General features: G+C 39.3%; 1 protein-coding gene and 1 long non-coding RNA gene across 2 annotated transcripts in view; one reads left to right on the plus strand and one right to left on the minus strand.

The window, feature by feature from the left end:
• Window positions 1-25,133, plus strand: part of LOC101928362 (uncharacterized) — a 169,017-nt gene that overhangs the window by 58,663 nt on the left and 85,221 nt on the right. The window lies entirely within an intron of this gene.
• SLC15A5 (solute carrier family 15 member 5) overlaps window positions 22,314-25,133 on the minus strand; it is an 89,201-nt gene continuing 86,381 nt past the window's right edge. The window contains exon 9 of the mRNA NM_001170798.1: window positions 22,314-23,644. Coding sequence (NP_001164269.1) covers window positions 23,497-23,644 — 148 coding nt within the window. The 3' untranslated portion in view covers window positions 22,314-23,496. The remainder of the gene's footprint in view (window positions 23,645-25,133) is intronic.

A 25,133-nucleotide genomic window follows, 5' to 3' on the forward strand; every position in this document is an offset into this window, starting at 1 on the left:
AGGATTTGAATCTCATTTCTATTACTTGTTTCATGACATGTGACAAGTACGCTTTGTGTCTCTGAACCTTGGGCCCTTGTCTGTAAAATGGGGTGATATAGTGCTTTCCTCAGATTTCTTGGGAAACTTAAATTATATTTTTTATATGAAAGAACCTAGGACACAGTGGTTACAGAATAACTGTCAAATTTCTTAAGAATTTGGGAGGCAATTAAAAGTTAAATAAGGATTTTATAACTTCAAAAGATCTGTGGTTTAGTTACAATAGAAATAGAAGGATTTAGTGTTACTTACAATATATTTTAATATCTATTCAGAGTTAATAAAAATTATTTAACGACATCAGCTCCCCCTTTGCAATTGTCCCAAAGGAAGAATTATACATAGCTAGTGAATGCCTCACCTAAAAAGGAAAAAAAATCCCAAAGCCTTGGAAAGTGGAACCTTCTTAAAAGGAAAGCACTACAGATACTTAGCTAATTCTTAGGATTTAGAGAAAAGGAAGGAGAGTGTGAATGAAATGAATTTCTTTACTGGTGACTAGCTGAAGTACAGAACTCTGTGCAAAGTTGAGACAAAGTGACTTTGCACCATCAATCTCTTGGCAGCGTAGAAGTCAAAGGGAGAGGACAAAGTGCAGTAGAATCTGGGTCATTTCTTCTTCACCTAGGGTCTGAAACATTAAGAGAATATGGAAAACAGGATTTTCTTCTCCTAAAAGACTCCATCAGGCTCTCAAATGAAGTTTTGTTTCTCTAATTCCATTCTACCACTAGACTATTTTATTTTCGTTTGGGGAAAACAATAAAACTTGCTTGTAACTAAGGAGCAGTCCCGGCACTCAGTTCCTGCTGGGAAAACAGTACTGGGGCTCATCTACTGGGAGAGTACTCATGCTCCCTTCTAAACACTGACTGCCAGGCTCCTAATTAATATTTCTCAAAGGAGGAAGCTAACTTTGTTTTTTGGCTATGTATTCTCTACAATAGCACCAATATCTCTATATAGATTAGCAATTTAACAGCAACAACACATCCCCACCACCACCTCCCCGCCAAAAAAAATCAGATAGTACTTCTGGCATTGGCAACTTAAATAAAAATTAACTTAGAGATACAGTCTGGTTTGAATGACTGAGAGTAAGATTCTAAATCTTTAGCTTTGGCTCAGTTGAGTCTAAACTGCTGAGAGATTTGGTAGCTCAGGAGTTGGGTGGATAAAGAAATCATCCAATTGGGGTCCATGGCCAAGGCATAACTCTTGTAAATTGGGCTTAGCTAGCCTATCGAGAGCTTTCATTGACGTTTTGTTTTTTCTAATTCCATTCTATCACTAGACTATTTTATTTTCATTTGGGGAAAACAGTAAAGCTTGTTTGTAACTAAGGAGCAGTCCGGCACTCAGTTCCTGCTGGGAAAACAGTATCCTCGCAATGTAACCATGCAAGGTTCTGCATGCAGGAAAGTGCAAGCTCTGCTGCCTTTAAGATTCTTGTACCCAAGACACAGACATGAGTTTACCAAGAACTGGGATAAAGTCTCATTGATGTTTTCCTTTTTTGGAAACTTATCCTATGTCCTGATTATAGTTAAACCCTTTTACTCATTCAATAACTGCCAACGGGAAAAGAATATTTCCCATTGCAATAAAAATGATGCAGTTGAAATTAGTTTTTCAGTTTGGGTACTAGCTGGGCTTTGTCTGTCCAAACTGTCTCTTCATGTCCTCATGTGTTCTACCTGCTTATAATTTGGAAGATGGCTAAATAAATAAATAAATAACTAAGGAAAGGGCCAGAATAAAACTGCCAAGCAAAGTTGGCTCTTCTGTCTGAGAAATGAACTTCAACCTAATTGGCCCTAATCAGTTGAATTACCCACCACAAAAGTCTCAATTGAGCTCATTTTTTGTGCAGCAAATTCATTCACAGAGCTTGTTTACAGTACAGCGTCTTGGGCCTCATTCCTAGAGATTTTGATTCAGTTGATCTAAGGTAGGACTCAAGAATCTGTACTTTTAATAATCACTACCTGTGGCTCATACTCAGATGGTTCTTGGAACAAACTTTGAGAAACATTGGTGAATGATGTCTGAGTCATTTGAATTAACTAGAGAAGACTAGTCAGGGTGCTGTGAGGAAACAAAGCTTTACGTTCCTCCTAAGGGAAGAGAGGTGATGAGACAGGGATACTGGGGGTAGAGAGAGGCAGCGAGGAAACAAAATTGGCTAAGTGTCTGTAGTATTGATTGCTGTATTCACACATCCTGGGAGATATATGAAAATTTCCTTTCACCACCAGATAACTACTACCCAGTATGCATTTAGGACTGTGGGCCACACATAGTTTGGAGGTTAGAGGGGCCAAGAGCATGGACTCTAGGACCAGCCTAAGTTTGACTTTTGGCTCTGCCACTTATTAGCTATGTGACTCTGGCAAAATGATTTAATCGCCAAGTGGTTTTGTTCCCCTCATCTGTAAAATGGGAATGATAATAGTATTTGTCTCATAGAGTTGTGAAGTTGAAACGAATGAATATAAGTAAAAGTGCTCAGAGCAGTGTCTGCTTAGAAAGTGCTAGATAAAGGTGAGCCATTACTACTCTTTTAATCGATGCTTGGCTGGGAAGGACGAGGATGCAGGTAAAGCTGGAAAATGAGGCAAAGGGGATGAGGTCACTCTGAAAAGAAGGAAAAATGTAGAGCTTGTGAGGCCTTAAATTTTGCCAAGCCATTTTGTGACTAGACTTCAGTTATTTAAAAATATCTCTATCTTGTAAACTTCTCTGTATTGGAACTTCTGCATTTTCAGACTTTGTTTTGGATTTTGTTTTGCTTTGCTTCTTGGGGAAGCCTGTATGAAAAATATCAGCATTAATATAAAGGAATTAGTACCCCAGATCATTAATTCTTGGGCTTCAGAGGGTTTCTGAAATAAAAGTTTACTTGTACTAGATATTTAAGTGCGTTTATGGATCTTAGGTAAAAATATTTGCCCCACCAAATTCTGTAAGAGTACTGGGACACCAAAAGGTTAAAAATCATCCTCTAGGAACCAGCTTCTTTGTGGCTTCTTTCTGACCCCACTTTCTGTGACTCCAGAAGAGCTGGTACTCAAAACAAGGGTAGTCTTGACCCCGCTCCTCTGGAATCATTTGGCCATGTCTTGAGATATGTTTGTTATCACAACTAGGTAGTGCTAGTGGCATCCAGTGAGTAGAAGACAGAGATAGTACAAAAAATCTTAAAGTGCACAGGACAACCACCCCCAACAACGAATTATCCAGTCTAAAATGTCAGTATCGTTGAGGTTGAGAAGCCCTACCTTAGAGGTAACATCAGCAGAAGTCCAACTGAATACTGGGGGCAGGTCTGGTGAAGCTGAGCACTTAGAGGGGGAGGAGTAGCAGAGCTGGGGACAAGAGAGATCATTATTCCATGAGCAATGGTATGGGCTTCCTGTCAGTGCTATGCCAGATGCCAATGGCAACTTATCTTGGTGAATGTAGGAGATACTCCTACCAGAACCCTCTTTGGGTCTTCATGACTTGGTACTACAGGGGCACACTCTTACCATGTTGAGTCTCACCACTTACTCTATTCATAGATCAGATGTCAGGCTCACTGAAAATTTGGATGTTTGATTCAAAAGCAGACACACTTAAATTCTTTTTCTGTAGCATAGACTTTATCAGGGGAGACATTTCCTCACGTGGGTAATGAGGTCCCTATAATAATTAGCACTAATTGAGATCCAGGTAGGCAGCTTAAGTAGAAAGGCTGACAACTAAATCACTCATAGTGGTGACCCAGGGGACTAGTCTCATAGGTCCTCATTTAGTCAGAAAGAAGGAGGCAGAATTCAGTGACATTAGTAAGTTTTCAGGAAGGATTACATTTGTTATAAACAATTAGCAAAATATTTATTTGAGCTAAATGCTGTGAACGAAACACACACATACACATACACACACATATACACACTTCTCTCAAGAAGAGTCTGATCTTTATCTCATTATATAGAGAGATCAAGAGCCAGCAGGATTATTCTTTGAATAATATATAGGTTCTGTCTAGTAGCCTGGGGACAAGATCACATGGGTCCCAGTTGTGTCCCTAGAGTGTCTTTCTGTGACTCTCACTTAACTTTTCTACAGTCTCTTCATCATTAAAATGGCCTAAACCTTTATTATTTTCTGTTCTTTGGAAGCCCTTCCTTACCTCTGGAGAACTACATTTGAAGGTGAGGCTGTATCACAGAGGGCTGTGTAATTTAAAGAGCTGCAAGTTCATTAACTTTCTAGAGTTATATCCTAGTTTGTAGGATAAATAGAATGGGTGTGAGAAAGAAAATCATGAAAAAAATTCCTTTTAGATGGATCACAGATTAGGAAAAATTCAGTGAAAAAACTGGAAGAGGCCTGCTTTGGAAATAAGGTGTACACTGTTTAGACCTTAGCTTTGTCGTACAGACCTAGGGAATAGAAGCCCATGAAAGTTTGCAGGATTTTGACAGTTTCTCTCCAATCTTTCTGCTGAAAGTATAGAATAAGGAGTGATCCAGATTGCACAGGGGTGAATTTTCCATAATCCAGGACTAAATGTGGCAGATGCCAAATTTATGAGTGTTAGTAATCTTCACCCTGTTGTTCTTGGGATTTTTCCATGAGGAGAGAAAAGAAAGAATTATCTGGATTCTAGTTCCAGCCTTGCCACTACCTAAAAAAAAAAAAAAAGTTTCTTTATATGCCAAGAAGAAGGAATTGAACCAGATGACATTTAACTTCCTGTTCAGAATTACATTTCTATAAACTCAGCTCCATGATGTTTCAAGAGCACTAAATTCAATCCAAAACAACTTTCTACAATAGAAGTGTCTCTTTTTTTAAGTCTTGCTCTGTCACCCAGGCTGGAATGCAGTGGTGTGATCTAGACTGACTGCAACCTCTCCCTCCTGGGCTCAAGTGATCCTCCCACCTCAGCCTCCTGAGTAGCTGGGACTACAGATGCATGTCACCAAGCCAGGCTGATTTTTGTATTTTTTGTAGAGATGGGGTTTCACCATATTGGCCAGGTTGGTCTCAAACACCTGGACTCAAGTGATCTACCTGCCTTGGCCTCCCAAAGTGTTGGGATTACTTACAGGCATGAGCCACCGCACCTGGCCTATGACAGAAGTTTCTATGAGAAACAGAACAACATTTTTGTGATCTACAATCCTGGAACTCCTCAATCCTGAACGAGATTTCAAACTCAGATCTTATCCTGGTCAAATATATCACCAGAATTAATTTACTGCTAGTGGTCCAAGCTTGAGCCTACGCTGCTGTCACCTAGGCCATTGGTCACATCTGCTCCTGTTGGCAAGGCCAAGCCAGTGAGGTCACTCACCAGGAACCTATTTGTACAAAAGACCTATGAACTCTGTGCATTCTCTGTCCAGGGAAGAAATTCTTGGAGAAGAGAGTGCTAGGCACCCAAGCTTGCTCTAACTACTAGCCTTGGTAGTTGAAAGAGCTTTGAGTACATACATAGTAGTGTCCACTATTTCTATTTTCCTCTTTCCACTGATATCTCACAAGACCTGAGAGTGCCTGGCTGCTCTGCATTGGTATTTGTGTGGCAGAGTGGAGCACAAAATGGGGAAACCCTTCAGCAGGGAGCAAAAGTATGGCTTTGGGAAATTGAGGGCTTCAGAATATAGCATCAAAAAGACTCCAGCAGAGTAACACTGTTTGCAGTCAAGATATCTAGGGGTTCTGACAAGGGTCTCTGGCAATGGTAATACCTGGGGTGGTCTTTGGATCACTGGGAAGCAGGACCCTTGTGGTTGTGGTCTCACTGTGAGTGCATGCTGCAGCTATGCTAACAGGACTCTCTTGAGTGGCTTTTTAGGGAGTGTATGTGTTGGAGAGGAGATGTGACACAACAATGACGTATTTCACATGGAGTGGAGAAAGCTCTTCCTTGAGAACTTGTAAAGCACCCTTGGGTGGGATGTCGGAGTGGGACCAAAGCTCCCATTACAGTAGGTCCAGGGGAGAATCTAAGAAACACAGTGCATAAATGTAAATGTGGCCTCCTGTTTTCACTCTTTCTCCTCTGCTCTAATTCCACAGCCTCAACCTCCTTCTGCTAACCATCTCCATCCCCAGGCTGGTGTCCTAAAAACCATTCCATCAGAGGTAACATCTCATGGAAAGTCTGAATAGAACAGAGCTAAAACCATTGCTGTGCTGGGTACTGCAATGTTTGAAAGCAATTCTTGTATAAAAGTTGGAAATAGAAATGATTTTGAGGGGTTTCAGGATAATTTGATGGCAAATTTGGAATGATAATGTCGAGAATACAGGGAAGATGCTAAAAGGAGCACCCAAATGGAATATCTTGGAGCAGAATTTGTACACATACCACAACTTCTTAGAAAAGAGCCACAGCATATGTTGTGCTACCAACCTTACCTGGTGGTCCTAGCTTGGAATGGACAAATAATCAGCATAAGTTCCATGACTTTTCCAGTTCCAAAATCAAGTACAATTGCTTAATTGCACTAAGCTTCCTACCCTGACATTCCAGATCTGGACCTCTGTAATGGTCTCCAATATGTATTTTATTTTGCTTCCTGGCATCCATTTACCCTGTTTTTGGCAACTGTACTCCAATTTTCCTCTGGTAGACTACTCTATTCAACTTTCTATTCACCGTCTTCATTCCTCTGTAGTCGTCTCCAGCTTCAGAGACAGGCAGCGGGATAGAACCCTGGGTAATTAGAGAATTATACTGCTCTGATCACAGTGATTGGCTCAGAAATATTCCCATGACCCACTGGAATCAATGAGAGGTACTGAGACAGTTGCTGGAACTTGTGAGAAAGAAGCTCTCTTTAGCTTGTTTTCTGCAGCCATCTGGTGACCATGAAATAAGAGCCTGGCTCAGCATGAAGCCAACATGAAGGAGAGTAGAGGCAGATAATGGAAAACGAGGCGTTGGGTCCTGACATTATCACGAGTTTTCCATAACTCAAGGGACTGGAACTGGCTTCACCGTCATACATCCTGTACAGTTTGCACAGGGCTCCATGATCAGAAGGGCCTTGTGCTTTGTTCAATGCTCTGCTGTTGCTATGTTGAAAATCTTAATACATTTTATGTTTGAATTTGTATTGTGTAAATAAAGTCCAGTGAGACAATGGAGCATGTATGTGAACAGAGGAGCACATGAAATCAGCATGCCTGCCATTCCTTGCTATGCCATTTGCATATAGTGACCCACGAGTGCAGACCTCCAGCCAGCCCCTTACAGCCCCCAGTGTGCAGAGGTTCAGTGACTCAAAGTGAGTACGAGGTATGTTGATGGCTGAGACAGTGGTGTGCTGACAACCTGGAAAGCCATGCTTTCCCTTAGAATCAGAACTTGCTTCAAATGCAGAAAGAAGGCCATGACATTTTAAGAAAAACAAATGGCCAAAGAGCCCTGTTAGAACCTTTCTTTTATATCACTTCGCCGTATTACTCAATCATTTACACTGGAAATAATAATGACACAGATGGAAAGAGAAAGAAAGAAAAACCCAGAGTTGCTTATCCTTTTAAGTCTTTCTTCACTCATTGATGAATGTAGAATAGAGGGTGTTGGCAGAATGTGTATCAAGAAGTGAAATAACATCACAGTTGAGTTAGTTTTTGAAGCTTTTCCACTATTCTGGTAAAAATGATACATATATGTACAGATGCATGTATGAGCTATGAAATATAAATTCAGCAATTTTAGTGTTCTACACATGACTTAAGAGCTCTTGTATTTACATTTAAAACTGATTTTGCACAATATACGGATAAATGGTAAAACTCATGCTGATAACTAAAAATTTTAGTTTTTCTTTGTGTAGAAACACTTAAGTAGCAAAACCAAAATCATCCCTAAACTCCAGAAAACCCGCACAACAAAACCACCATTACAAGTAAGAGTGAGACCACAGGAGGAAAAAAGAGCCTTATATTTCAGTATCGTGAGTCACACTTTTCTCCTACTTTTTGAAGTTGGAGAACCACATTTTCATTTTTCACTGGATTCTGCAAATTTTACAGCCAGCTCTGCAAGTGACTTGTATTGATTTGCTAGGGCTGCCATAAAAAAATACCACAGAATAGGTGACTTAAACAACAGAAATTTACTTTTTCACACTTCTGGAGGCTTAGAAGTCCAAGGTTTAAAGTTCTGGCAGGGTTGGTTTCCTCCGAGGCCTCTGTCATTGGTTTGCAGGTGGTTACCTTCTTTCTACCTCTTACCATGGTCGTTTCTCTGCGCATGCGTGCCTCTGATGTCTCTCTGGGTGTCCAAGTTTCCTCTTCTTTAAGCACCCCAGTCAGTTGGCATTGGGGCCCCTCCATATAACCTCATTTAACTTTAATTATCTCCTTAAAGACCTGATCTCCAAATATAATCACATACTTGTGAATGAGGGAGGATTAGGGCTTCAGCCTATAAATTTGAGAGGGGGGCACAATTCAGCCCGAATGGTACTTTTCAATGGCATGAACCAATAAATTCCATTTTTCTTTACACCAGGTTAGATTGTATTTTTTTTAATCCCTTAGAACTTAAAAGAGCCCAATTGCCACAGCTTCATAGTGTAACCCCTCGCATCTACTCCTCAGTATTCTGCTACCCGTGGACAGGATATTTTTAACCCTCTTAGGCAACTCAGAAATGAGGAAAAGAGATAGCTAAAGTTGTCAGGAAATGGAACAAGATGCTTGTGAAAATGTATATTCACTCTTTATTCATGATATAATAATAATAAAATTATTAGTGCCAGTGAAGAGATCAGCCCCTTTATTTTCACAGGTTATAGAATTAGGACATGGAGGAGTAAAATAAAATCTGCATAGCTCGGGAAACTAATATCAGAACCCATAGCCCCTGATGGCTATGTCAGGATTCTTTTCATTCTACTTCATGGTACTTACCTGAATTTTTCATAGTACAGAGATGAGGGATATACTTTTAATCTCTGAGTTGGTTCACCTGTTTGATAAAAACTCCTCTGAAGTTGTTTTTGTGTATTTTTTAAACAAAAGGCCATTTAAATAAAATATGCACCAATCTACCAAGATCCTCTGTTAAGTCCAAACTAGCAAAATAAGTGGTGTAGAAGAGTGTTTTTTCATTTAAACAATTTTAAAAAATAGAAGTGATGCAAATAAATGCATGTCTCTTTCTGGAAAAATCACATATGCTACAATCTAAACTGAGATCTTTGTAGATGTGACTTCAATTATAGTATGTATGAGGTAATCAATAATTATAGAAGGCAGCTTCTCAAAGGCAACAACGGACCTCAGAACCAGGATTGGGATTTGAAATTTAGAATACCTTTTTTCCATCCCCTAATGTTAATTCCACATTCAGGGCATAAACTTTTAGTCTGAAGAACTAACAGGGAGCAGAAATAACACTATTTTACTTGCGCAAATTTTTAAAGAGGAATCACGTACAGGGGGATGGATATTTTTTATTTATTGAATGTTCTCAGCATTTCTCATTGGTGTCTCTAAGCAGCAGAACTAAGATCAATAGGAAGGCATAAAGTTGCAAGATGGGAATGAAAAATGAGATTAAGAGTAATGCTTGTAAAAGTGCAAAGATACCTGCTTAAGAGACAGCAGGGGCTGCGTGACCCAGGCCCTCTTAAGCTGTCCTCTCTTCTTGCATGACAGTCCCAATGTTGCAGGCCCTTGGAAAAGGCTCCTTTCAAAGTGTGGAGAAATAGAAGGCAAAGTGCAGATAGAGACAGTGACAGAGAGCAGGAGACTTCAAGGGAAATAACCATGCAGTCGCAGATGAGATGTTTGCTGCTGCCCTAAATACACATGACTGTGATGTGGCTGTTTTTGAGTTGTTCCTTATTTTCCCACAAATGTACTAACAAATCCAAATGAGTGTTTTCATTCAGAATAGTCATCTTAACAGTACATGTATTGCAACACAGTAGCCATTGCTTAAATACCTTTGGGATCGCTTTTATTCTTTTAATATATACAGAGCTAATAAACATTTGTCAGTTGAGTTTTGGGAACTGCAAGAAGCCTACAAGTGCCAAGTTTGGTGAATAAAGCTATTATTTGAGTCCCTCCCTCCCTCCCTCCCTCCCTTCCTTCCTTCCTTCCTTCCTTCTTTCCTTCTGTCCACAATTGGTAATCAAAAATGGAGACTCAATATAAACTACTAGAATTTACCTTCTTGTATGGTTTATAAAATGATGCGGAAGGTGTAAGAAAGAGTGAAAAATGACAACATCATAAGTAGAGGCTCCCAAGGTAACTATTCTGAAGGTTCCAATATTCAGGAACATTTGGTTATGCTTGTAAAATACACACACACACACACACACACACACACACACACACAAAAGCACACATACCAGCTTGTGTACAGATTGCAGTGTTTTCAAGTATCTTTGTTGTGTAAAAAGATACCTGTGTAGCTTTATTTTATGTAGCTCTACTAAATACACATTCAGAGACTCTATTATTCCACAGTTATAAATACTACCAGCCAAGTGAATTCTGAGTTTGCTCTGTTTCTGATCTAAGCTCCATCAAGTCATTAATTTCTCCTTTTTCCTGGGGCTGATCTAAGCTGTGAGGTTTTCAGTCTCAATCAAGTGAAGAGGAGAGTTAGTATCTATCCTTGGTCATTACCTGTCCTGCACTGATCTCTCCTGAGATACACAATTCTTCCATTTGGTCCTCCACGCTGCTCCCTGCTGCCTTGCCCCTGTGTCATGACTACAAGCCCATTTGGGGTCACTTGTTCTCTCTCTTGCTCTCACTCCCACTCTCCTCTCTCTTTTAGAGCTAACTTCTGTTTCACAAAAATGTGGGAAAGAGGGAAGGATCAGTGTATCTCCCACAGCTTTTAGAGGTGCTGGAGACTTAGGGAACTCTTGGATCCTCTGCCCCAGACATTTCTTGAAGCCATTTGGCTCTATTGCTGCCTTGCTTTAGTGGTGTAGAAAAAACGACAGCAACCCTATAAAGGTATGCCTGGCACACAACAGGATCTCTCTGAATATTTATTGATTGATTGGCTGGCTGACTGAATGAATGCAAATGCTATTTCCCAGAGTTCCATAGGGTATATGTTTTCTCTTCTATTATGTTCTCCGAATAACGTAAGGATTCTATAGTCTTCTCTACTCTCATTGAAACTCATCCTGGATGAGGTGGAGAGAAGAGGATAAGGCCTCTTCACAGGGACCCTGCAAGAATAATTCTAGATCTCTGAGGAGTTTCTGTAGTCATGTAAGGAGGCTGCCAAGTGTCCCACCTCATTTGGTTAAATTATGCTCATCTTTTAGGTGTCAGATGAGACCACCTTAACTTTTCTTTAGACTGTGTGCTCCATGAGGAGTCTTTTCTGTTCTGTCCTCATCACCATTTTATTAGTAGGTATTGTGCTTGGCATATCAGGTTGTCAATATTTTTGTTTGTTTGTTTTTTGAGATGACCTCACCTGTTGCCCAGGCTAGAATGCAGTGGTGTGATCATAGCTCACTGCAGCCTTGAACTCCTGGGCTCAAGCAACCCTCCTGCTTCAGCCTCCTGAGTAGCTAGCAATACAGGCACACCAGTGTGTCTGGCTAATTTTTTATTTTTATTTTTGTACAGATAGGATCTTACTGTGCTGTCCAGGCTGGTCTCAAACTCCTGGCCTTAAGCAGTTCTCCTGCTTTAGCCTCCCATAGTGCTGGGATTATAGGTATGAGCCACCACACTCGATCGATATCTTTGAAATAATTAATGTGAATATGAATAATTGAACTCTTTGAGCTAGGCTTGGTATTTCTGAGTGTTACTCAAGTTTTCTAGATTTTGCTAGTTTAGCTATCTCAGAAGACTGGAAATAATTGTTTTTTTACTGTCTTCATTTTTGCAAACCTGAACATAGTGGGTTAAGAGGGAAAAGTCACAATTCCCAAGTAAACATCCTTTATGCTCTCAAAAGCTAAGGGAGGTAATCTGGTTTTAAGATGCCATTTATTTAACTTTTCAGATAGTTTCTTAAACATTTTTTTGCACATATTAAATGTCCTGTTAGAGTGCTTTGGGAGAAGTTGAGATCTAACAAAGTCAGTAATCATATGTAAATTTTTGGTTGTATAACCAACAATCCATTTCTTACAATTCAGATTCCTCAGTGACCATAAATGACTTTGAAAGGAAGAGTACTCGTCACCAACTAGTACAGGGAAATCTCCAATGGACACTTTGCACAGTGAAGATTAGAAATGGCTGGTAAATCTTTAATGGACAATTGCCTTTATTCTTCATGGGTTTATGAGAACAGCTGCACCAAACTTACTAAATTAAAATATTCTGTATTCTGCTGAGAAGGGTCAACTTTTCTTTCCTTTCACCCTCCCTTCTTCTGTCACTCCCTTCCTTTTCCTTCTTTCTTTTTATTTTACCTGTAATATTTCCTTTTTTTTTCTTCCGGAGACGGAGTCTTGCTCTGTCACCCAGGCTGCAGTTCAATGGGGCGATTTCAGCTCACTGCAACTTCCACCTTCCAAGTTCAAGTGATTCTCATGCCTCAGCCTCCCAAGTAGCTGAGATTACAGGCATGTGCCACCACACCCAGCTGATTTTTGTATTTTTAGTAGAGACGGGGTTTTGCCATGTTGGCCAGGCTGGTCTTGAACTCCTGACCCCAAATGATCCTCCCACTGTGGCCTCCTGAAGTGTTGGGATTACAGGCATTAGCCACCACCCCGGCCCATTCCCTATAATATTTCTAAGCCAACGTGTCTTTAACCTTCAACTAGATTTGCACAGAAGTAGTTGTTTTTATGACTGGCATATGTGGGGGTGAGAAGAATACTTATTTCTGGTTGTTTAAACCTCATCCATATCCAATTCAGCTATACATAGGAGCAAAATTCTTTTCAGGATAAAGAATAAAATCCAAGAAATATACTTAATAATATGCGACTTCCTCTGGGTACATGCCTTCCTTTCATCAGACACCAAAGAGTTATTATATGTCCTCAGGGTAAAAACCAAAATTCATCTAGCGCATGCAATATTTGATCTTTATTAACTTGGATTCATCACTTCAAGACAGCACAGTCAATAGGAAGGGTGAGAGTTAGATGTTGTTCCTTTATGTTAGATTTGGGGAAGATTATTTAACTATAGTTTTGAAATCTGGGGCAAGCATATATTCAATGTGTTTTTTTATTTCTTCTTCCTTTTCCCTTAGTTTTGACAGTGGATCTTCCAAACATTCGACGAGAAAATTGGATTATCAAAAAAAGTCTATTAAACAACTAATTGCCTATGTCATTGACATACTGACTGCATTTATAGCACATTAAAAAAGTCTCTATTATATCTAAAATATGCAAAAAGGACTGAGGATTTCACAGTGAACTTTTGTGCATGCAAGTCCTAATTTCATTTATCAATTCACAGCCAATTGTAATTTATCTAAACTCTCACCCACTTCCCCTTAGGTTAAATTATTTTGAAGCAGATCCTAGACATTGTGGTATTTCTTTCATCAGTGTTTCTATGTGGATATACAAAAGATAAGATTCCTTTAAAAAAGCCATAATCACCACATCATCATCACACCTACAATTATCAGTAATTCCTTAATATTATCAATTATGATCTCTTCAGATTTACCCATTTTTAAAAACATTTCTTTTATTAAATAAAGATCTAAATAAATCCAAATATTGGAATTGGTTGATATAATTTTAACTTTTAATCTAAAGATGGCTCTTCTCTCTCTTTTTTAAAAAATGTATTTGTGACAGAAATTGAGTTTTTCATCTTGTGAGTCTCCCTTCGTCTTTATTTTGCTTATTGCATCCCTGCAGTGTCATTTAACATGTTCCTACCTCCCCTGTCTTTCCTGTAAATTGGTAGTTGGATCTGGAGGAGGTTTAATCTACTTCTTAGATGGTGGTGTGTGCTTCTATTAGGTGACGCCTAATGTCTAATTTTCTTTCTTTTGTTATAGCATGCATTTTAACACTTGATCATACAACTTATTTTTTATTTATTTCATTAATGAATATTCAGTCTGGCAAAGGAGATTTTAAGTGCCTTTAGGGTGAGATTGGTTTCTTTGATATCCTGTGTAGTGCTTTTCTAAGGTTAGACTCACAGAATGTGGGCTACATTCTGTTTACTGACTTGCTGCATGCCTTCCAAACAAGAATGGGGCATACCTGTTGGCAAACATGGCAGATAAGTGGACTTAATTTCACTCATTATTAAGAGGCTTAAGCAGGAAGACAGATGAATTCAACAACTGCTGTTCACTAAAGAGGAACAAAGTGAATGCTACCAAACCTTGCACTCTTTTAAAGAACAACTCTTCTGCAAGCATTCAATGGGCAATTGAGACCTTATTTGTTTCTTTGCATCTGTATGTGGTGACTGTATGATGCTCTAACTCCATTTTAAATTTAATTATCAGTGCCAATGAAGAAGAGACTTGTTATTTGTGTATTTGGAGAAATTCCAAATTCCACGGACTGAAGACTTGTTGTGATGAATTGACCAGCACTTTTTGTTCTGACAAATAAGATTTCTGCTGCTTCATCTCTTTTAGCCCTACAATTGGATGCACTTAGGGTCTGGTATCAAAGTGATTGGTATTGATGGATAAAAATTTTGTTTGGAGTAAAATAAATAGAAAAGACAGATGCTTTTAGTTTTTCTCTTTTTCTTTTTCTTTTTCTTTTTTTTTTTTTGAGATGGAGTCTTGCTCTGTCAACCAGGCTGGAGTGTAGTGGCACTATCTCGGCTCACTGCAAGCTCTGCCTCCCAGGTTCACTCCATTCTCCTGCCTCAGCCTCCCAAGTAGCTGGGACTGCAGGCGCCCACCACCACGCCCAGCTAATTTTTTGTACTTTTAGTAGAGACGGGGTTTCACCTTGTTAGCCAGGATGGTCTTGATCTCCTGACCTCGTGATCCGCCCGCCTCAGCCTCCCAAAGTGCTGGGATTACAGGCGTGAGCCACCGCGCCCGGCCAGTTTTTCTTAAATAGTAGTAAGAAATATGTTAATAATTAACATATATGGATATGAATGGTTTGGAAGCACAGAAAATATCAAATAAATATTTGCTGATTTAGGAGAAGGAAAAATAGTAAGTGACTAATTTGTATTGCCAGTCTCTATGTCTGAGGGTCTTTGCCACATGTGTTATGTATGTTAATGTACAAAGTGCTGTGATGGGTAGATTTTTTTTTTTTTTTCTTGAGACGGAGTCTCGCTCTGTCGCCCAGGCTGGAGTGCAGTGGCGCGATCTCGGCTGACTGCAAGCTCCGCCTCCTGGGTTCACGCCATTCTCCTGGATGGCCAGATTCTTACTCCTATTTTACAGATAGGGAAACTACAGTTCAGAGATTAAATAATATGCCAAAGTCTTCCCAGCTACTACCTGGTAGAGACTTAGCTGAAATCCGAAGCTATCTGATTCCCAAGCCTATGCACTTTCCACCCTACCAGCTTTTCCAAAGTGTCTAGAGAAGGCCAGTGCTGAGAAATGCTCCCTGAGTAAAGGATTATGTCACCTTATGAATTGAGAAGACTCTGAATAGCAAACCCATTTCTTAGCAAATTCCCAATGCATATAATAAAGTTTCTGAGAAGTCTTATAGAAATTAAACTAAATTAAGTTTGTTAAATCCAGCATTGGATTATGAAAACTTTTCTCTTTTCCTTATAATTCTTTGGGAAATACATACTTTACTGGGCTGGACTGAGAATCAGTGGTCCTGGACGCTTTACCAGCTAAGTAGGTAAAACTGTTTACCTGGGGATAAGTTACATTACCTCTCTGGGCCTAGAATTCGACATTTATAAAATAAAACTCTGGCTAGATATTTTCTAAGATCCTTCTTGAGTATAAATGCTTGATGACTCCAACCCATTTCCATATGAACAAAACCCATTATGCTTTGTTTAGATTACCAACAAGATACCTGAAATCTCCACTCAATTTCCTACAGACATCTCAAATTCATTATGTACCAATGTGTTCTTATCCATTCCACCTCCCCATCCTCCTGCATTTCTTTATCTCTGTCACATTACCAGTCACTTAAGTTGTTTAATCCAGAAACCTAGTAGTGATCCTGGACTCCTTTTTCCTTTGTCACCATCACATCCAATCAGTATAGCTTAGCAATTAAATGTGTGGGCTTCAGTACTGGAGACTACAAATCCTGGCTCTACTTGCAGGAAAATTAGAGAGCAGCTTGAATTCTCTGTGTCTCAGATTCTTTATAAATAAAATGCATACAATAATTCCAAGATATAAATTTATTGTGAAAATTACACAAGAGATAATCACATGCATAATGGAAATTCAATAAATGGTTCCTTCCTATTATTCTATCTTTAAATCTCTTATGCTCTTCCCCTCTTCTCCATCCAGAGTAATACCTTCCTAACCCGGACCTCATTATCTTTTACTGATATTGCAATAGTCACCTAATTGGGCTGTCTAACTCTTGTCTAGTCCCTCCCACTTTATCCTTTGCATTTTTGACTGGGTGATCTTTTTGAAACAAATTCTGTCATATTACTCTGCCCTTGAGTCTTGTGGTCCAGTGACAGCAAATGACTTGAAGTTCCAAGAAGAAGCTGTGCTACTTCATGCTTTGGTATTTTGCTTTGTTACTTCCTAAGGTGACCCGGAGTGCTCTTACCACTGCCCTTTGTTTGGCTAGCAGACATCTATTCATCTTTCAACTTAAATAATGTTGCTGGTCCCAGATGAATTTCTAGAATCTTGCTACTCCTCTGAAGAGATGGAACCTATTTTCTCTCCCTTTAAATCTAGATAGAGCTTTCAGCTTGCCTCAGGAAATGAAATGCAGTGGTAGTGATACTGTTTAGCCCCTGAGGCTAGGACATTAGAGGCAATGGGATTTCAGCCTGGCTTTCTTTCTTTATTGGGATGCTTGCCCTTGCATACCAACCACCAAGCTTGGAAGAAGCTCAAAGTAGCCCATCTAGGGAGACAGTATGAAGAGGCCATCTGGGATGCAACTCCCATGTGGAGAGTCTTCTAGATGACAGCTAGCATCAACTGCTGGCTGGGACTTCATATTTTTACACGTGTGTGTATCTGTATTTGTGTATATATATGGATATATGTATATACACGTGTGTGTGTGTGTGTGTGTGTGTGTGTGTGTGTGTATCTTCATAAAAATCTCTGCCTTCATGGACCCCATATTCTTTGTAGCCTTGTGGCCATGTATTGGAAAGGTAGTGAAAGACACATCTCTGATGAGGCAAGAGGACATACCTCAGGAAACTGTTCTGTTAGGTAGACTTACTCACTAATGTGAAAAACCACTTACTACTTAGCATGAATTAGAAGAGAAAGCTTGAACGAGAGGGTCCCTTTGAATTGTTCCGCCTGCTTATCTAGCCAGTGAACTTCACGGCCAGTTCTACATTCAAGCTTCTTGGTAATTTAAACGTTCTCTTGTGTGTTGCATATGGCAATCTGGGCTAGCCGTCTGGGATGTGACTCCTGCTTCAAGAGCAATGAAAAAGTTTCTAGCACTCACTGTCGATGTGGGAAGCAGACTGTTGTTGAAGTGTTATTATTAATGAGAATTACTGCTGGACAGCTTGAACTAGAGGATAATTTATTCTCCGTGAACTTCTAATTGCAGTAAAATGGTTTATTCACTGCCATGCTTGTCCATCTTGTTTGTTCTTGTCTTTCAGGCACAGTTGACTGCAATGAAATAAGGCAGAAGTGAACAAGTTGCACTAGAAACAAAAATCTGTATTTCTGGAGACACAGTGGAAACTGGTCAGGCAGGGTTAGCTTGTGGAAGAGATGCTTGGGAAAATGGTAAAAAGCAGTATGGCATGCTCAAGGTGGAGCCAGTCATAGTCAACTCAGATGAAGCAAGACACCTACTATGTGTTATGCCTTATGCCAAAATGGGAAATCAATATTTCCAGATGGCTACTCGCTGCTCTTACTTTTGAAGTTCTCACTTCCCCTCTGGCATTTCTGACAGAGAGCTCTTTCACTTATTTTAAAATTTGGCATGTCTTCTCCACTATCCTCATTTTGCTTCTATTGATTGCTTTGGGAAAATAAAAACTCACCATGATGAGGAGATGTAGGTTTTCCTGGTAATATCTTTAATGTTCTGGTGTCTTCCCCCCGATTTTTGCCAAATCTCTGCCTCCCATTGATCTCATTCTTCTCCATTTTGTTTCCCTGGTAGAACCACTGCCTTTCTCTTTGCATAAATGTCATTAAATGTGCTCCTGATTTGCTGCTACCATGGTAATAGGTGCTTGTCATAGGCTATTGACTCATTACTGTATTTATATGAGATTTGGTCACTTGTGGTTTAGCAAGCTTAAGAAACAAACTGACTCTCAGCCAGGAAATGGATTCGAACCTGTCTGTGATGAACGATAGATTAGGGTTTGGGTGCTATTATTATTTAATAGTTAGTAAAGCCTCTGAGTGGACTAGGGACAGTGCGTTGCCTGGGGAAATGGTCCTGGCTGTCACATAGCATCTATTCTACTGTAGACAGCCTTAGTGGAGCACACAGCCAGAGAGAAGGAGAGAGAGAGGGAAAGAGAGAAAGTCTTATCACTATCTTTGAATATCCCTGGAGAACAGGGTGGGAGGACAGGTCTGGAAGAATCCAGGAAATGTCAGGAATGTCTGCATAGATGTTATGGAAACAGAGAACCTAGTTGACCTCTTGATCTAACTGTGACTGTTTCAGATGAGAAACAGAGGGCTTACATTACGATTTGAGGAACACTAGAAAAGTATGCCTACAACAATTCTTAAATAGATGTGCCCACTTGCTGCCACAGAACCTGATGTTTTGCCCCAAGGGCCATGCCTTTGGATCCCTTCTTTAACTTCCTCACTGTACACACCATTTAACAAACTCTTTTCCTTGCCTTACAATAACAATTCCCACCTCAGATCACCCAACCATGCATCTTCTCTCATCTTACTGAATGTTGCTGGTAAAATGTTTCTTCTCAGAATATCTGTCTACTTTCACATGTAAGCAGGAGATAGTAATTATTTTTGACAGGGGAGGAAGGGGGACAATATAGGAATGTTGAGAATCAATGTTGTTTCAACCTGGTAATTACCAATGGAAGAGGTCATATTCTTATGTGTTGAGACAGAAAAAGACTGAGATCCATTAAGCTTAGGCACTGTCTTCCCTGGAATTCAGTTCCCCTGGGAGTATAGAAAAACATCCTATAGATAACAGCTGTACTGAAAGACAGTTATGTAGAGAGGAATGGCCCCCAGATTTTGTAGACAAATGTCCTGGGTCCAAACCTTGACTCTGCCCATACTGTCCGCATAACCCTTGGAAAGTTATTAGCTCCTGTATCTTTCATATTTCTTATCTATAAAATAAAATTAACCATTGTATTAACTCATGGGGTTACTGTGATTAAATGAGCATATGCCTTGAAAACACTTAGAACAATGGCTTCAACTTAACAAGTACTACAGAAGTCTTCATAATTTTTAATACTACTTTTCAGGGTACATTTGTTTTTCTCAAATTGACTTTTCTTTTCTTTTCTTTCTTTTTTTTTTTTTGCTCTGTCTCCCAGGGTGGAGTGCAGTGACGCGATCTTGGCTCATTGCAACCTCCGCCTCCCGGGTTCAAGCGATTCTTCTGCCTCAGCCTCCAGAGTAGCTGGGACTACAGGCGTGCGCCACCGTGCCCGACTAAGTTTTGTATTTTTAGTAGAAATGGGGTTTCACCATATTGGCCAGGCTGGTCTTGAACTCTTGACCTTGTGATCCGCCCACCTCAGCCTCCCAAAGTGCTGGGATTACAGGCATGAGCCACCGTGCCTGGCCCTCAAATTGCCTTTTCTAAGGCAGTTTGCAACTGACTGTAGCACAGCCAAGTCAGTTTGATGAAAAGAGAAATAAAGGATGGTCTTGACATTGATAACACCTCCCTTGCCGTTGTGTTCAATCTGGGTAGGTCTTTTCTGGGACCGTTTCTGCCATCCTGAGGTCCATGTCAGGAAACTGTTTGGCTCCACAGGGAGAGCTGAGTGAGGGAGAAGAGATGCTAAAAAGATGTTTGCTTTTTGTTACCCATTTTGTCAGAGTCTGTAACCTTGACATAATCTTTCCTCCCATTCTTGTTCCCTTGTGAATGATGTAGAGAGTGTTTCACCTAAGTGGCTGGGGAATGATCCAGTGTTGGCGACTTTATGAGTATTGTTGTAGAAGGAGCTAGCACTTTAGCGACACACAGACCAAGGTTCAAGTCCTGTGTGTGCCACCTACTGTCTCTGTGCCTCTTGATAAATCAATGAAGGTGTCAAGAGTTGCAATTTCTCATTTACAAAATGGGCATGCTAAAATGTGCCTACCTCCCAGAGTGGTGGTGCTAATCAAATGTGATAATATGTGCGACAGCAACTTGTAAACTATAAAAGGTGACATAGATGTGAGTTGTTACTGTTAGTGGTTCTTTTAATTTCCCTGCTCTCTACAAGCAGACCTGAATTCTAGCAGCACCTGTGTGCTGTCATCACTTGGCTGCTGATTTTATGTGAAGGCTTTACTCGTAAGTCTGGGACCAATAATTGTACACTGGCTTCTCTTGTAGTGAGAGAATGGTAGATGGTGGATGCCTATCACCCGACTGGCTAAGAGTACCAGTGTGGAAGCTTTGTTTTCATAGAACAAGGGATCCTGACAGTTTTCAGAAAGGATTATTTTCTCTCTTTCAATGTGTAAATCGTGCAATATTATAATAGGAAACTTTTTGGAATTACGAGCTGTTATTTGGTGATATTGTTACTCTGATAGTTGATAAAACACTTTCAGAAACCAAGAGAATTAAAGGTTGGCTAGGGTGGAATGAATGCTATAAATCAAGATTACCTGAAGGGGATATGTATGAGAGAGAAGGGATTAAACTGAATAAAGAAGAAATAAGGAGAAATATCCACGGAGCTTGGGAACATTTACCTACTTTCAGGAGCAGATCTCTGAATGTTATTTTGTGCTATTAAAGAAGTCACTCTGATGAAAATCATCTTCACTTATAAATTTATGTAATGAGAGTATAGTTTTCTTAATTTTGTATATAGGGTCAATGTAGTGACTTCTGGCTACAATGGATTGAAGTGTTACAAGAAAAAAAAGGAAGAGAAACGAGATGTTACTGTCAGTTGTGAACAGAATCAGATGGGGTGAGACCTGGGCTCTGCGGGTCACAGAAAACATTTTGAAATACCTTGTGTTTCAGGCCTTGATCATGGACAGAAATAGAGCACAGAAGGTGCTTCTTAGGGAAGTCTTCACTTTTCCAACCTTGTGCCACAAGTAAAAAATGGAGCAAATGAGTGGCTGGGTACAGACCCTTGGCACCAAGTGGCTGGAGTAAATGGAACACTGCAGGGACACAGAACTTCGCCCGCCACTGAGCATATTACTGGAGAAATACAGTACGAAACCCAGCAGGCTTCTGCAAACAACACATCCCTTTAAGTTAATTGGTGTTATATAGAAGCTGAAATGCTCCGCTTATTTACAAAGCTACAGATTTATGTAAAGCAAAACCAATTACACTTAATGCCTAAACTATTCCAGGTGCTCAATGATAATGTTGCTAGGCAGTAGAGAAGAAACTGCTGTGTGAATGCATCCTGTTCCGAATGGAAGCCTGTGTAGTTACTGCAATTTAGCTAATCACGAGTGTCAACGCCAACGTGAGGATTCTAAGCTCTTTTGGTGTTTGCTTTGGGTCAACTTTATAATTCTGTAGATCTTTCAGCTCTAAGGACAAGTGAAACCACAATGAGCACCTTTTTCTATTATGATGTAGAAATTAAGGAGATGAAGGCAAATTTGTGGGGAGGGGGAGAACAAAATAAAGCAGGCTCCTTTTCTATCAGTAAGAGGGACTAGAGCTTCTCACTTGTACTGAGGTGAAGTGTTTAAAGATTTCTTGCTCTTGTGAGTGTTCATTAAACCCAAATTGCAAACTTGGCATTTAACCTTTTGCAGCAAGGAAAGCTTCTAAGGAATATTAGGGGTCTGCCTCACTGTTTTGCCAGGAAACAATTGCTAAACAGAAAGGATTTGAAAAAGTTGCAGGAAACGAATTTATGCCTGTACCAGCAAGTCTTTTCATTTGTCCTCAAACAAAAAATAGTTTGAGTAACAGAAACACCTGGTGCTTTACAGCTCCTCTTTTGCAATTAAAAATGCGTAGCATACCTAATCAAGTTGAGTAAATCTTTTATTCTACAGACCTAAAATATTTTATGTATACACAAGGGAGGTGCATAATTGCAGAATAATTTGCAGTCAGCTGATAAACTCACCTGTCCTATCCAACATGAATTGTCCTGGAAAGCAATGGCTTTTAAACCTTAGGGAACATGAGAATGATTTGGGTGTGCTTATTAAAACCACCAATTGCTGGACCCCAATCTCAAAAAAAGATTTGAGTTAAGGCAGTCTGTATAGGGGCCAGAAAGATTCACCTGTAGCAAGTTGTCCTCAACCAAATGTTGACAAATACTGCTACTGAGAAACAGACTTTAATTTTATTTGATTTTTTAAAAAATGAGTTTCCACATATTTTTGCTTATGAAAGAAGAAACTCTTAGAAGATAATTTTCTGAATGCATCTGAATTGGCAGTGGAGACCGAAAGATGTTATTCATATAATTCCTTTAAGCATCTCTATTTGGTTTGGTCACTTACCCTCCTCTCAGCCCCCTCATTTTATCTTCCCTAATTTCCTTCTTTCTTTTAATTCCAATAATTCCATAACTTACATTTATTTTTCAACTTTTTTAGTATGCGGACATTCTCTTTGTTAAGGACATCTATTTTAGTAATACTGCTTTTAAATTCAGAGAAAATGTCCTTAATGAAGTCATATTTTGATAGCATAATATTAACAGCAAATATAGAAAATCATGTATATGTTTATTATTTACTCAGTTATATACAGTATATGGTCACAATGTAATAAGGTCACGTGTAATAAGGGATCACTAAGTGTATTGAAAGAGAGTATATTAAAATACTGTCATTTTGCTTCTAATGACTCATTAAAACTCCAAAAAAAAGGTCATACGCTTTCAATGGCTGAACCATTGTAGAAAGCTGTAAGGTATTATTGGTGTATAGAAAACTGTCATTTTTTTTGTCATAGAGTAATCACTGAGACTTTGAAATTATTTTATTAATTCTAATGCTATAACATGTTAATGCAAAAGCATGACAGTTTACTAGAAAATTCATAATTAGTCTTTGTAAATAAAGTATACAGATGATATTTGTAAAATCACCTCTGTATATATTGGCTTTTACACTAAAACACATAAAATGCTCAACTGAAGAAGAAAACAATGAATACTGTTCTCATAAGACAGGTAGACTCAAACACAGTTTCATAGGGCTGTCTCCCAAAGATCAATACTTGAAGAAAATTCCTGTATACTGCCATAAAATTTCAGAGATTTTTCGTGGAGGAGAAGTGTTTCTTCAAGATTACTTCCACGGATGTTCTGGGCATTAAAATGATTTAGATTACAATATCTAAAAAAGAAAGAAAGAAAGCTTTTCTTAGGACCAGATGTAGATGAATTGATAAATCATTTGCTTCCCTCCTGCGCTTGTCTACCTTTTATGATGGGCTCATAGATACTGGCACAACAGTGACGATTATTTAAGAGCACTGCTCACCAAAACAGCCTTTTTAAAAGGACAAAAGGAGTTTTTGTGACTTAGTAAAGTGTCTCATAAGGACCTTTAGGTGGCGCTTTTTAACAACCTGCTACGCTGTCTTCAGTGCTGACAGAGAGATGGTGAGAAGGCTGAAAGCCTATTGACTTGACAGATTTCATGGCGGTCAGGATGCATAAGAGGTTTACTGGGAATTTGTAAATTCAGTGCTGAGATTATGTGGAAAGCACCATTGTCAAAGAAGGAGTCTATGAATATATTTCTAGAATGTGCACTCTCCATCCCCAACCTCCAGAAAAACCTGCCTTTCCAGTGTCTTCTAAGTACCAGCCCCATGCAAGGGTGGGATAGAATCATCCCATTTCACAGATTAAGAAACTGAAGTTTCCAAGAGATTAAATAACTTGCTTAAGGTTCATAGAAATAGTAGTTGGCAGAGTTTGGATTTGGAACCAGAACTTGATTATTCTGAATCCTGGCGCTTTTCCTCCATGGCATACTGCCTCTAAAGACAAATTACTTTCTTAAACACTTTCGGGTAAGTTCCAGCAAAATAGGAACTTCAAATTGCTTTATTCACTGCTTTATTCCCAGTGATTGATACATAGTAGATGTTCAATAAATATTTGTCAAATGAACAAATGAATATCGGCTATAAGTTTAATTTTATCACATACACATAAGTTTCAAAAATAGATGGGGTCAGTCATCTATTTTTGATTTGTGAAGGTTTCAAAAGTTAATTTTACCTTCTTTTCCTTCTCAGTACATTACTAAAAATAACTGTAACTGTAACTCTAAGAGAATGAATACTGCCTGAACAACTCTGGTCATTTGTCTCTGATTTATGTCACTTTCAATAATTCTTACAGCATAGACACAAAAGATTACTAGAATATTTGACAAAACAAGTGCAATATCAACTTTATAACATGTGTTTCACAACACTGGAAGGACAGTGGTGTTAGTTATAAAAACAAACACTCTCTGCCCACTCCCTCTCAAAACACCTGAAATTTCTTTTTATTTTAGCACCAAATGTGGGATAGAATACATATTTATATAAAGCACTGTAGACATATTTACTTTCATCTACCTACTTCCTTCACCCCTAAACTGGAAAGCCTCGAGTATGACATGTCACTAATGCAGTATTTCAAATTTGATTGTGGAGGGGTTGTTTTCAGTTTCTTTGATGTGGTACATGTGACAGGTAAGTCTGGCCTTATATTTATGGATAATTCCTAGCTTTATGCAGCTGGGGATTTGAGATAATGTCCCAGTAACCCTCACAAGATTGGTTTGGTTCTAGGACTTAACAATAAGATTGTATCAGACTAAT

This window comes from Homo sapiens, chromosome 12 (assembly GCF_000001405.40).
Source record: "Homo sapiens chromosome 12, GRCh38.p14 Primary Assembly".
Lineage (NCBI taxonomy): Eukaryota > Metazoa > Chordata > Mammalia > Primates > Hominidae > Homo > Homo sapiens.